At 62.3% G+C, this 13,401-nt stretch overlaps 1 protein-coding gene across 13 annotated transcripts in view, besides 1 other annotated feature; it reads left to right on the forward strand.

The window, feature by feature from the left end:
* Nucleotides 1–13,401, forward strand: part of ATP2B3 (ATPase plasma membrane Ca2+ transporting 3) — a 65,288-nt gene that overhangs the window by 14,195 nt on the left and 37,692 nt on the right. For 11 of the 13 annotated variants that reach the window (NM_021949.4, XM_005274689.4, NM_001001344.3 and 8 more), the window contains 5 exons: nucleotides 4,286–4,619; nucleotides 9,523–9,720; nucleotides 9,833–10,090; nucleotides 10,487–10,612; nucleotides 11,207–11,332. In NM_021949.4, the coding sequence (NP_068768.2) occupies nucleotides 4,412–4,619; nucleotides 9,523–9,720; nucleotides 9,833–10,090; nucleotides 10,487–10,612; nucleotides 11,207–11,332 (916 nt within the window). In that variant the 5' untranslated portion in view covers nucleotides 4,286–4,411. Of the gene's footprint in view, nucleotides 1–1,394; nucleotides 1,539–3,164; nucleotides 3,351–4,285; nucleotides 4,620–9,522; nucleotides 9,721–9,832; nucleotides 10,091–10,486; nucleotides 10,613–11,206; nucleotides 11,333–13,401 lie in introns of those variants that run through there. The other 2 variants (XM_047442142.1, XM_017029553.2) reach the window with 2 other exon arrangements.
* Nucleotides 12,036–12,888: an enhancer, noted in NCBI's record as "H3K4me1 hESC enhancer chrX:152809330-152810182 (GRCh37/hg19 assembly coordinates)". NCBI's record gives its function as "activates a minimal SCP1, AML or CMV promoter by ChIP-STARR-seq in naive H9 embryonic stem cells {active_cell/tissue: H9 hESC(naive)}" and the evidence as "EXISTENCE:reporter gene assay evidence [ECO:0000049][PMID:30033119]".

Genomic DNA, 13,401 nt, shown 5'->3' on the forward strand with positions numbered 1-13,401 from the left:
TGTTTTCAGGAAAGAGAATGGCGTGAATCCCGATGCGTGCATCACCTGAGATCTGGAGGACGGTGGTGGGATCTCGCCCTCCATCTGTTCTCTCCTCCATAAAGGCGGAGCAGGTGGCCGAGTGGAATGCAGCCTGGGCCTGCTGGGGAGGCTTTCAGGGGTGTCATCAGAGCGTCCCAGCAAGGGCGGCCATGACCCACCTCAAGTCACATGGAAGGCAGGGCTGGGAGAACCAGGGCAAAAGCAGGAGGCTTCCTGAGCCTCAGTTTCCCCCTCTGTAAGGCAGGGAGAGTTCTCCTGGCCCTCGTAGGGTGTTTCCAAGGGTGCAGTGAAAGAAACATGTCTGTCAAGAGCTGGCATGCAGATGTGGGCTCAAAACTCAGTGTGTGCCATGGGGTCCTGAGAGGGGCCCCATGGGAGCGGGGGTGCCCCCTACTTAGAAAGTGCCGAGCCTTCTGGAGCATGCTGGGCTGCCCAGGGCCTGGAGGAAGTCCATGGGGGACTAAGCTGGAGGTGCCAGCAGAGCCCCCAAAGCCAGGGAGGGACAACATAGGGGAAAGAGGACCCCTGGGTCTCTGGTCAGGTGGGTTTGAGTCACTGGGTGGGGAGTAGGCACTCTGAGCCTAGTTGGGAGGTGAGGGTCTCTGGGCCCTGCTGAAGAGAAGAGTCCAGAAGGCGGTTGAGTAATGGGCCTGGACTTGGGCCATCCCCTCCAGCAGCCCCTGGAGGCAGCAGCCAGGGACCCCCCTGGCTGTCTCCCACCACGAGGCCGGCCAGTCTGTGCGGGGATGGTGCAAATGCCGGAAGGTGCGAGGCCCCCTCTGTGGAGGTTCTCATTTCAATGAAGCCAATTAAGGTCAGAAAGATGAAAGAGCACAGAAATGGTATGTTCCCTGCCCTTTTGGTGCCTACAGACCATTCTCGGCAGCCAGCCCAGGCCGGAAACTCTGTCAGGCCTGCAGAACTGATAGGCCTAGTCACTTCGGTTCTTGGCCATCTCGGCGATGGCTGCTGTCTTTATTGGGCCTCAGGGAGGCCACCGCCCAGGCTTATATAGAACCCAGAAAAGCAAAGTATATGCCATTTGGTCTGCACAGCAGCCAACAGTCGCTCTAAATGGGCCTTACTCTAACTGATGGATCCTGTCTGCCCTATAGCCTGTTGCATTCATGAAGACAGTGAGGGTTAGCAGAGCACCCCGACCCCACCCTGTCCTCCAGGATGGAGACTCCACCTCCCAGGACTCCAAGTTCCTCCCCTGTGGGCCAGGCCCCCATTCACTCATTCCTCCAGGCCCCCGGCCACATGCGGGACTGACCACGCGGTAGACTTCCTGCCGACTCCATACCACGTGTCTCAAAGAGCTTAGGGCCCAGCTGGTGGGAGACAAGCTCACAGATCATCGCAGCGCCAAGCAGAGTGAAATAGGAATGGGTCGCGGGATTATAGACTCAGGCGCAATCAGTTTTGGCTGGGGAACTGGCAGAGACTCCTGGAGAATGTTCCACTTGAATTGTGACTAAGAGGATTCATCGGAGGTCAGCAGGTGGAGCTGGAACAGAGGGCGTGCGGTCGGGGCTCAGAGCTGGCAGGGCTGTGTGGCTGGGGTGGGAGTGGGGCTGGGAAGTGCTCAGAAGGAATCTGGCCTTTTGCTTGATGGGGATGGGAGACTGAAACAGGGGCTCGCTGGAGTGATGGTGCCTGAACCAGGAAAGTGGTGACTCACAGCAGGGTCATGACCAGTTGCTGGACTAGAGAGAGACCTAAGAGGTGGTCCACAGGACGTGGAGCTTGCTTGCTGAGGGGTGGGGATCCTGCAGTGGGGAGGGCCAGCAGGGCCAGCCGAGGAGAAGGAAGTTGGCCCCGGGACCATGGCAGAGGGGAGGACTGCCTCCTTGCCCACTGCCCTCCCCATGAGTCACTGTGGGTCCAGTCAGACACAGCCATGGCTGCACCAGTCAGGAGCAGCTGTACGACCTGGTATGGTTCTGTCTGGGCCACCGCTGTGGGGTCAGGGGCAGGGACCGGGTGGGGGAGGACAGAGCTGGCCTTGGGTATGCCATGGTCAGAGGAGGGAGGATGAGCACATGCCAGGGGAGGGCCACCAGGCCTCGGTGACCGTGCCACGAGGAACCCCTGCTCTGAGGAACAAGCATTTCTGTCATGGCCGTGTGCCACCCAAGAGCCTACCACACAAGCCATTCACTCTGTCACCCGCTGGGGGCACAGAGCCTGAACCTGACAGTGGCACAAAGTTGCTACATGGTGGGATTGTTGAGGCATGAGGTGACTGGAGCTCAGGAAGGCAGGGAGAAGGCGCCCTGGCAGGTGCACCGTCACAAGCAAAGGTCCTGGGGTGGGGAGGGGAGGCTGTCTCGAGAAGACGAGGAGTCCAGGTGAGAGCCGAAAGCTGCCATTGCTGCCTTGAGGGGTCAGAAGTGGGACACCCAGCTGTCCTCTGGCTCTGCCACTTCCCCAAGCCAGCCTCAGTTTCCCGCATCAGAAAAGCAAGGGCAATTCGTCCACACAGCACCCCCAGAAGGAGCCCGCCTCACCTGGGACAGCTTCGCTTGCTGTCCTGGCCCCCTCTCCTCAGCTTTCACTCCTTCTAGTCTTTTCCCCCCAATGCCTGTCCCCAGACGCCTTGCCTCACCTTTGCCCCAGCTGCAACCCCACAGCTCTTGGCCCTCGGGCCTGCTGTTCTCCCTGTCCCAGCTAGAGAGGGACGGGGTTAGTTGAAACTTGTTGAGCACCTGTCCCAGCACATCAAGCCAGTGCCAGGCATGTAGTAGCTGCTCGGTGAATATGTGTCAGGTGACCAACTGCAAGACAGGGCGGGGAGAGGTGGGGAGAGAGGACGGCACAGGCACATGGCCATCATTTTGTCCCCACATCTCCCAGAAGTGAAGGCTGCTTCATGTGCAATGTGTCGCGAGAGTAAACGCGCAGGTGCCCACGCTTTTCAAACATGGGTCACTGTGGATGGATGTTTCGTGAAGTATCCACCAGGGCCTCTCCTGAGAATAAGGCCATGGACTTGGCCGTGTCTGCTTTGGCTGCCTGAGGGCTTTCTCCCCTTTCTTCAGGGCTCTGGGCCACTCGTTTCCAACGGATGCTTCTGAGCCAGGAGCTTCCCCAGAGACGGGGGTTCAGGGCCCTGCTGAGCTGCCAGGAGGGCTCTTGGCTGATGTCAAGGCCAGGCCATGTGCACTGAGGCCATTTCAGTTCCATGAGGATGTGACAGGCTTAGCTCGGGCCGGGAAGGAGCGGAGAGAGAGGAGCTGCAGTGGGCCCCGCCAAACACTGTGATGGCTGCAGAAGGGGCAGCCTGGGCCCTAGCGGATCCTTGGGTAAGGTGACGGGGACAGGGAGAGGGATGACAACTTTGCGATGCTCGGCAGAGTGGGGCCAGGGCCGTGGCCTGGATGCTTTCAGTGTGGGGAGACTTTGGCTCCTTACTTTGTCATCTGGAGGGAAGAAGAGCGTGGAGGGGAGTGGGTGGCACCATGCTGTGGGCTGGGACGTTGGCAGACTCACCAGCGACCTGTGGCTGCTTTGGCTTTCTCCTGTGTACCCTCTCCTCCTCTCCTCCTCAGCCACTCCCTTTATCCCCTCCCTCTTCTCCCTCCCTCCATCCCCCTTTCCCTCCCTCTCTTTGCCTTTCCGTCTTGTCCCTCTCTCCCCTCCCCTGTTTCCCACCCTTCCTCCGGGCCTCCTCCTTTCCTCGCCCCTGGCCCCCCAGGTACTCTCAGGGCCACAGAAACCGTGAGCCACTAAGGCCACACCAGAAGACCACCAGGGACTCATGGCATGCCCGCTGCACAGGGCGCATCTTAACCAGGCAAGAGCAGGGAGTGAACCGGAGTGAACAAGCGCAGGACTGGTGGTGGGGCGCGGGCAAGACCAGCCACTGATCAGTCCCAGCACGCTGCCCTCACTTCAGCGTGGGTTCCCGAATGGATCTGGGGGGCAGTGACAGCCTCTGCCTCCAGCTAGCTAGTGTTAACCACTGCAGGGTCCTGGCAGGAGGCATCGACACTTCCCCTCCCCCACCTGGGCAAGCCCTCCAGGTTCTGGGCACCCATGGTGGGCAGGACCCGGGAGTGGCCTGGCTGGTGGGGCCTGGCAGAGCATGAGGGCCACTGGCCCAGCCTGGGAGGTGATTTCTGCACTTCGAGGGTCATGGCACAGACTGAGTGAAGATTTGCCGAGAATATTCTGGAAGATGGGACCTCAGTTTTGTCTCAACCACTCCCCTGGCTTCTTCTCGCCTCCATCTCCCCAGGTGTCCACGCTTAGCAGCTTTCTCACCGCCGCCAAACCTTGCCTGGGCACTGGGACCGTGGGTGGCCGCCTGTCCCTAGCTGTGGCTGAGCCAAGATTGCACTTGTGAGAAGGCCTGACAGGCAGCATGGGCGACATGGCCAATAGTTCCATCGAGTTCCACCCCAAGCCCCAGCAGCAGCGGGATGTCCCCCAGGCTGGAGGCTTTGGGTGCACGCTGGCGGAGCTGCGCACCCTCATGGAGCTGCGAGGGGCCGAGGCGCTGCAGAAGATCGAGGAGGCCTACGGGGATGTCAGCGGGCTCTGCCGGAGGCTGAAGACCTCACCCACAGAGGGTAAGTCCCTCTCAGGCTGCATGCCACCCAGCCCTGCTCCCAGCCTTCAGAGGAGCGACCTGAAGGCATCCTTAGCCCCAAGGCTGGCCAGGGTCAAGGGCCACCTGTGCCCCTCCTCTCAGCCATTTCCCTTGAGGGGGAGATGCCCTGGGTAACCTGACCTGACCCCCTCATCTCCACACCTCCACAATCAGGAGTTCTCCGCTCTATAGAGCGAGACTGGGGAGGGGGAGATGGGAACTTCATGGGACACACACACAGGCGGAATGGGCCCCAAACAGAAACCCTTCCGAGGAACAGGGCAGGGCAGGGCAGGGAGGAGGAAGACAGCCCCATCTGTATATTTGGGGATTTCCGGTGTGCTCAACCCTGTGTTCACTTAAGGGGGATCAGAACAGGAGGAAGGGATGCAGGGTGCAAGCCTTCGGAGTTTCGGGTGACCGGGGCCTCTCCTGGGAAGAGAGAGGATGGCCTGGGGATGGCACAAGCCATTTGGGTCTGGCAGGAAGGGGTGACCGAAGCTGGGTCACGGGAGGCCCAGAGTGCTGATCAGAGGTGGCACTGACTGGCCACAGGCTGTCCCAAAGAGGCACAAGCCCAGGGTAGTGTCGGTCTCACTGCTGAGGGAGGCTCTAGAAAGCCCGGTGAGCACTGTCTAGAAAGATCTGGGGCGGAGGCCTGACTATCCCTGTGGGAGGCAATGTTCCACCCGGCCTTGTGAGGCCTGCCCAGCCCTGGTTGCTGCGGTCTGCCATGAAGCGGGGACCCCCAGGAGCCAGGCCCAGCCCCAGATTCCAGGAGCCACAGCATTCTCTGGCGCTGCGTGCCTGGCAGGGCTGCTGGGGCTATCCCAGCCTAGTGCCAGGCCTGTTCCCCAGCCAGTGCGGGCTGATTTGATCTGCTGCCCATCTGGGCAACGCCTGGGCCCACCCATCTCCTCTGCTCCCAGCCGTGAGGCTCCTTGGCACCTCCAGCCTCCCGCTCTGCCCTCACCCTCAACCCAGAGACTGTTCTCTTGTGGCTCCGGCCTCGGCCCCGTCTGTCTGCAGGTGGCACTCAGGCTGCAGGGAGGAGTGAAGATGGAGGAGGGGGGCTGCGGGCCAGGTCAGGAACTCCAGGGTCTGCCTGGGTCTCCCTAGCTTTGTGCCCTGGAGCTGATGCGCCCGTGACACCCGGCCTCGCCGCCGCACACGCCCTCACGGTGCAGCTGCTGCTGGGGCTGATGCCTTGGCTCTGCTCCCGAGCATCTCTTGCCTTCCCTCCTCCTTGCCCAGCCCCCGAGGAGGCTGTGGAGGGCCATTTATCCACAAGAGCTCTGGCCTCTCCCAGATCAAAGGAAGCAGATGGGCCTCAGCTGTCTGCTCTTCCCCTGTCTGCCAGGCCTTGTTAAATATTTAAAATGTCAAGGCCCCTGGGAACCTGCCCGATTCTGCCATGGAGCTCAGGAGCTCTTGCGTGCCTGTGGAGGCAGGGGCACGGAGAAGGGCAGGTGCACAGGTGGGTGGCTTGGCCTCTGACGGGCTTCCAAGCACCTGGGTCCCCAAGGCCACAGTGCAGGGAGCCGGCCAGGCCTGGATCTGCTGCCCACAGAATGAGCAGCAGAGGACCGGCCCCTCCCCTCTTCAACCCTCAAGGTCCTCGGGCTGGAGCTGTCGGGCTTGAGCTGTCTGGGTGCCAGGAGCGGGTGACTCGCTCCCCGCATCCCCTAGCCCGGCCGTGCACCCGGACCCTGGTGCTCAGACCTGCCTGCCCCTCAGTCCTCCTCAGACACAAGGGCCTGAGCCACGGGGGCAGCTGGCTTTGTTGTGCCCCAAGCCCCATGCCAATCCCCTGACAAGGTGGGCAGACGTGGGGCTGCCCAGGAGGCAGGCACTCCCCCGTGGGGCAGGTGCTTTATGGCGCATAGTGCATTGCGGGAAGGGGACTTTATCTTCTGGCGGTACACTCATCAATCCACTGCCCTCCCTGTCTTGGGAGCACTCCAAGAGGATTCCAGAACCCATCCTGGAAACCGCGCTGCTGTTGTCAGGAAACCTGGGTCTCAGGCTGAACTCAGAGGTGGGTTCGCCCGGGAACCTGGCCCCGCCCAGTGCCCCTCTGGGCTCCACAGGCAGTTCTGGAAAGGAGGGGGCGGATTCGCTGGGAGCCGACACGAGATGCTCCTAATCCAATTCTGATGGCATCTGGCCTCTGCTCCGGGCAGGCCGCCCATCTGTGTCCATGCCAACCGGCCAGCCCCTGCCCCCATGCCCTGGACCTGGACTGCCCTCGGGCCTGCTGGGGAAGCATGTGCTCAGAGCCAGAGGGGCCGCAGCTGTGTTCCTCCTCCCCGTCAATGGGTGCTGCAGTGGGGCAGCCGTCGGGACCCCGAGCCCACAGGAAGGCTAAGGAGAAACGAGCAAGGCTACAGCTGCAAGGGCAGGTCAAGGCCAAGGGAGAGGCTGGCGAGGGCGAGGGAGCTCCTGGGGAATGGGCCAGGGGTCCCGGCTGCTCTCAGGGACAAACTGGGCATGTGAGGAGGGGCAGGCAGGAGAGAGACTCGCATGGAGGCTCCAGGCTAAGGGCAGTGGAGACCCCAGGTGTCTGGGGAGCCCTCCCCTGCTCCTCTCCCTCCGCAGAAGCCCCACGGTTAGCACGTGCTTCTTCTTAAGTCACTTGGGGGGTCTTGTACTCCCTAGTACTGTCCCCACCTGGCTTAGCTCCTGTAATTCCAGGAGACAGTCCCAGTCCAGAGCGAGGTGCACACCCCTCAGTTGGGTCCCTGGTCCCCAGCCCCCTCCCCACCACCCAGGAGCTGAGGTCGTGCGTTAACCCCAGGCTCCCGATTGGGGCAGGCTCGGGCCTCAGCAAGAGGCCTTTGGCTCCTGAAGAAACCTGAGCCAGGGGCAGAGAGGCACGGACAGCTGCGGCTCTTCTGGGTGGGGAGGACGCCATGTGGCCGTCGCCTAGCTGGGGTGAATGAGCCACGGTTGTGCGGGCGGCAGCTTCTGTTCCACTGCGGCCAGGGCTACCCCTGCCCCTCCTCAGAAGCCCCAAGGTTAGCATGCGCCTGTTCTCCAGTCATCTGGAGGGTCTTGTGTGCCTTCCCAGACCCACTGTGAGTGCCCCATGGGCTGGGGCTGGGCTCTCTGGTCATCCCGTCCCTGCAGCAGATGGCAGGCGTGAGCCCAGCTGCCCAGGGCTGGGAGCTGCAAGCTGCTGTCTGTCCACCAGGTGTCAGTGTGGGTCTGGTCACGGCCGCGACAGCACTGGGCGCCGGGTGAGCGCCCGGGAGGGCTCCTCGGGATCAGCCGGGGCTGAGAATCCTGGGGCCAAGGGTGGGGCCAGAGGAGGGTGTCATCCCACATGCCTGCCCCGGTAGAAGGTGGCTGAGTGGGTGTCCAGGCCCGGATGCCAGTCACGCACGTAAGCTTCCAGTACCTTCAGGCCAAGGAAGACTGAGAAGTAAGCGTCCTCAAGGATGACAAGTGACAGAATTGGATAGGGACAGGTGGCTCTGATTGTGAAGGCAAAGCCAATTTGGGGGCTTCTGAGTGGCTTTGGGTGTCATTCAAGTCGCCATGTAGACAAGCTGTGAGCCCTGGCTGAGGGATCAAAGTTGGTGCTGGAGTTGCATTAGAACCAAGGCTGCTGGGTCCTGAGGGCCCTGTGCTCACCGGGTCCTGTCGGGCAGCGTAGGTTCTGTCCTGACCTGGGCCACAGGCCAGAGCTCTGACTCATGGTTACAGGGCCCTCTCCACCTCCGGCCTCAGTGGCCTTGTCTGCACCCTGCAGAGAGCAGCTGATGAGCAGCCCAGGGTGGGCAGTGTCTCCCCGACCCCTGCGAGGCCATGCAGCCCAGAAAAGGCTTGAAGACTTCCCAGTCCCCTCCCTCAGCACCGTGACTCCGGTTTGGCTTCTCCCCGCCTGTTCCCCACCAGGAACCCACTCCCATTCCCGTGCCTCTCTCTCTCCTCGCGTGACACCGTTCTTCTTCTTTGGGTCTCTGGACCCAAGAACTTGCATCTCCCATTAGCTCTCATGCTCCCTCCCCACTGCTTCTTCCCCGAGAAACTTCTGGAAAGTAAGCCTCCGCTCCCTGTTGCCAGCAGCCACAGGCACCCTGGAGACTGCTGATTCCTCGGCACTGGCCGTGCTCATGCCCCAATCCCTCGGGCCCTGCCCACCCTCTTTGCAGGCTGTCCCTGCCCCCACAGGTTGGGCTGTGTGACACTGCCAGTCTTTGGGACCGGCTGGCCCCATCTTACAGAGCTGGGGAGGGGGGTGTTGGTGACAAGCCTGCTCAGGGAATTCATAGGCTGGGAGCTAGAGAGGTGTTTCCTGACAGGCACAGAGCCCTGGCCTAGTCTTTGGCATCTGGTGCCATCCCAGCCTCCCCTGATTGGTGGCCCTCCCCATGTCTCCACTAAAGTCCCCTGGACACTCGCTCTCCTCCCCAGGGGACCATTGGCTATACTCTTCTGTCCTGTCTCCTAGCAACCCTTGTTGACCTGGACATACCCTGCTGGGTCCCCTCTGTGCCCCCTTGTTGGGTCCTGTCCCCTGCCTTCCAGTGCCCCCTCAGCGGTAGTGTGGAGGTGGCCAGGAAAGCACAGGGACCTGGGACCCGCTGGAGTCCAGGAGCCTCCTGGCCTGTTTTGTCATCTGTGTGTCAGGAGGAGGATGGCTAGGGACTCCCCATGACAGCAGCCAGAGAGCCGCATGCTCACTCCCACGTGCACACCCCCAGCAGTCTGCAGAAAGGCTCCTGTCTAGAGGGAGAGCCAGGCGCTGGCCAGACGGCCCCAGAGGGCTGCTGCCACCCCAGGAGCAGTCAGTCAGGGCCACATAGGAGGCCTGGGACACACAAGGCCGACCCGTCCCATCCCATCCTCCCCTTCTGTGCTTCCGGGGCACCATGCAGGCCTGGCGGACAACACCAATGACCTGGAGAAGCGCAGGCAGATCTACGGGCAGAACTTCATCCCCCCAAAGCAACCCAAGACCTTCCTGCAGCTGGTGTGGGAGGCCCTGCAGGACGTGACCCTCATCATCCTGGAGGTGGCTGCCATCGTCTCTCTGGGCCTCTCGTTCTATGCGCCGCCAGGAGAGGAGAGTGAAGGTAAGGCCCGGGGGCCTGGGCTGGAAGGAGGAAGAGGAATGGGGCTTGAGATGAGGGACGGTCACAGGATGGTGATGTCTCCTCCACTGCTTCCCTTCTGTCCTCCGCACAGCCTGTGGGAATGTGTCGGGAGGCGCAGAAGATGAGGGCGAGGCCGAAGCTGGCTGGATCGAGGGGGCTGCCATCCTGCTGTCCGTCATCTGTGTGGTGCTGGTCACGGCCTTCAATGACTGGAGCAAGGAGAAGCAGTTCCGAGGCCTGCAGAGCCGAATTGAGCAGGAGCAGAAGTTCACGGTCATCCGGAACGGGCAGCTCCTCCAGGTCCCCGTGGCTGCGCTGGTGGTGGGGGACATTGCCCAGGTCAAGTACGGTGAGTGCCCTGGTCTTCACCCACCCTGTCAAGGAAGCTCGGCTCCTGCTTCTGGGGAGGGTGAGCCAGAGGAGACCCCCAGCACAGGTTCTCCCCGGTGGCCTGCGTGTCGTCACCTGCCTTAGGAGGCGGGAGGTGGCGGGGGTGGGGGAGGTGGGGGAACACGGGGCAGGGCAGAGTGGTTTCAGACACAGCAGGCCCCCGAAGAATCAACTGTCCCCACAGCCTCCACGGCGGGCTTTCCCCCCTACAAAGGATGCAAATGTCCTCGTTCCCCAGAAGGAGGAGGGCTCCTGAGTCCCTTTCCCAGGCGGCCCATGGCACCTGACGGGACCTCCCCTGGGGCAGCCGGGAGGAGGCGGTGGGGAGAAAGGCCTCTGCTTCCCGGTGCTCTAGGCGACCTGCTGCCAGCCGACGGCGTGCTCATCCAGGCCAATGACCTCAAGATCGACGAGAGCTCCCTGACGGGCGAGTCTGACCACGTGCGCAAGTCAGCTGACAAAGATCCCATGCTGCTCTCAGGTGAGGGCCACCCTCCGGGCCAGCCTGGCACCAAGGGGCGTCAGCAGCCGTGTGGCCCAGCATCCTGTCCAGGCTGCCTGCTGGGCTCAGCCTCCACCTCCACCAGGGCCTTCCAGCATAACCTTCAGGTTGGGAATCTGAAGACTCCGCCCGTCTTGAGGCCTGATGGTGGCAGCTCCAGCCACAGGGCGAGGAAGCTGGCCCTCCAGGCCCGGGAGAGTGCTTTGTGTCCTGAATGGGAAGCCCCAAGCGGAGAGGCTTGCAGGGGCCAGCACAGCGCTGTGCTTCTCTCAATCCAGACCCTCGACAATATCCAGTGGGGGTAGTGTTCCCTTTCCAGAAGGTTTCAGCATAGTCCGGTGTTTATCCCAGTTGGAAACGTAGTGTGAAACGGGACAGGAAGGCTGGAGGCCCTAGGTGGGCCCTGTGGGCCTCGGGGTCTCCTCCAAGCCAGGGAGGAGGCTTCAGCCTAGTTTTAAGGTGGACACCGCGTCCCTGCTTCCGGGAGACCCTGGGAGACAGGTTGTGGGCGCTGAATGTGTCTCCCACTGGGTGATACAAATTCCTGTCTCAGTCTCTGTGTTGCTGTTCCAGGCACTCATGTCATGGAAGGTTCTGGAAGAATGGTGGTGACCGCCGTTGGCGTGAATTCCCAGACAGGCATCATCTTCACGCTGCTTGGAGCTGGCGGAGAGGAGGAAGAGAAGAAAGATAAGAAAGGTAGCGCAGCAGTGCCGCCAGTCCCTGGTGCTGGTGGCGGCTCCTTCCACGCTGCCCATTCTTTCTTTGCGGGCCGGTGCCACTGGGGGCTCAGGGAGAGCCAGCCCAAGTGGGTGGGAGGCCGGGCCCTCTCTTTTGATTCTCCGTGGAGACTCCTCTTCTGAGGATATCCCCCCTGAGAGCCGGCAGGCCAAGGGCCCCTCCAGTGCCGTGGACGGGGAGTTTCCCTGAGACCACCATCCCCAAAGGCTCCGGGATCCCATACCTACCTGGACAGGAATGGCGTTAGAGGGACAGGAGCTACGGGGAGCCTCATGCTTACCCTCAGGGCCCGTGCCCAGTAAGGTGCCGAGGATCCCAGGCCAGCGTGGGAGGCAGCCAGGGAGGTGGGGGTCAGAGGTCAGAGGAGGCTGGGACAGGTGAGGGCCGGGCAGCCCAACTGTGGGTGGTGGCCCTGCCCTGGGGCTTACAAAGCTAGGCAAGCCCGAGCCAGGAGGGCCCATTCCTCGTCCTGTGGCTGGAGCTGCCACCATCAGGCCCTGCAGCGGGCGGAGTCCTCAGACCTTCTAACCTGAGTACTATTCAGGGAGGCCCTGATGGACAAGATTGAATGGCTGCCACAGCCCCTTCTGGCTGGGCAGCCTTGCTCTGGCCTGGACTTGCCTTCTGGCCTCTCCTGCAGCCAAAACATGGTAGGGAGCCACACCCGCATGGGAAAGCTCTGCTTCCTGCCAGTGACCTCCAGCCAGGGCCCTGGGGCCAGTGCGCGGGGTGTGGGGGCGTGGGGGCGTGGGGCGGGCAGTCAGGGCCCGGGGAAAAGGTCAGCCCTGAGCCCAAAGCTCCCTGGAGGCAGCAAAGGAGTAGCTGGATGACCCTCTGTGGCCTAGAAGCTTCGACGAGCCCTGCCTCCTGGCAGCCTGGGCCTGTGTCTCCCTGCACCGGCTCTTCTTTGTGGCACCAAGTCCTGTAGGGCTCAGTGCAGTGTCTCACCCCAGTGAGTGCCCTGGGGGTGCGCAGGCAGATGGGCAGCCCTGGGCCTCGTCTGGGCTGGGCTGGAGTCCCTAGGCCTCTGTCCTGGGAAGCCCAGCTGCCCCTGCCTGGGCTGCCTCCTCATGTCTTGCACACAATGGCCCTCTCCCATCGTCCACGGGAACCCACGCTCCTCTGGAGTCTCCAGCCGCCCTTCTCAGGCTGCTCACCTTCTCTGTACCTTAAATGAGTGTGTCCTTCCTAACTGTTCCAGGCCTCTCCTTTCTTTTTTAAATTGACAAGACCATTCAGCCCCTCCCAGGCCCCACCTGGCCCTCCTCTCCAGCACCCTCAGGCTGTCCTACTTAGGAGTCAGAGCTAGAGGGCTTCCTGGAGGAAGAGAACCCTGAGGGGGCCCTGGAGGGAGAGCAGCAGCTGGCCAGCTGGGTAGAGGGTACCAGCAAGACCAGGGGGCTCCCTGCTCGCCCTCCCCGTCTCTCCCGCCCCATCCCCATTGTTTGGCGCAGCCTGCCAGGTACACGCTTAGGATACTTGCCTTCTACCTGCACCCAACCCCCTATTTCTTGTCTCTTGACCTTGACTCCTATGCACCTTTCTCCAAGTGTGCTTCTCCTCCTCACCTTCCCCCCACTCCTGTCTCTTCTGGCGGGGCCCAGCCCTCCTCTTCCAGCAATGCTCATCCCAGACTTCCCCCTGCCTCCCTCCTCCAGAGGCCTCCCAGGGCCTGTGTGCAGGCTGGGTCCAGAGTCCATGCTTCCTTCGGGCCCCCACGGCCCCAAGGCTCTGCCATCTCCCCTGCTGTGCTGTGCGGTCATCGCACTGCCATCTTGTGTCCGTGGGGGTCTCCCCTCCCTGCAAGAAGGGCCCTCTGTGCCCACAGGAACCCTGGGCGGAGAGGGCCTGATCAATGCCCCACCCCTGGCTGAGTAGGGTCGGGGGGGGGGCCCTCCCTGCTCCCTGGGGACCCCGGATCCCAACCCCAACTGCCTGGGAGTGCAGATGTGGCCCCCAGGAAGCTCCTCTAACTGCAGCTCTCAGAAGGGGTGACTGTGCCCACCACCTGAGCCCCTGGATAGGGC

The sequence above is a fragment of the Homo sapiens genome, chromosome X, assembly GCF_000001405.40.
Source record: "Homo sapiens chromosome X, GRCh38.p14 Primary Assembly".
Lineage (NCBI taxonomy): Eukaryota > Metazoa > Chordata > Mammalia > Primates > Hominidae > Homo > Homo sapiens.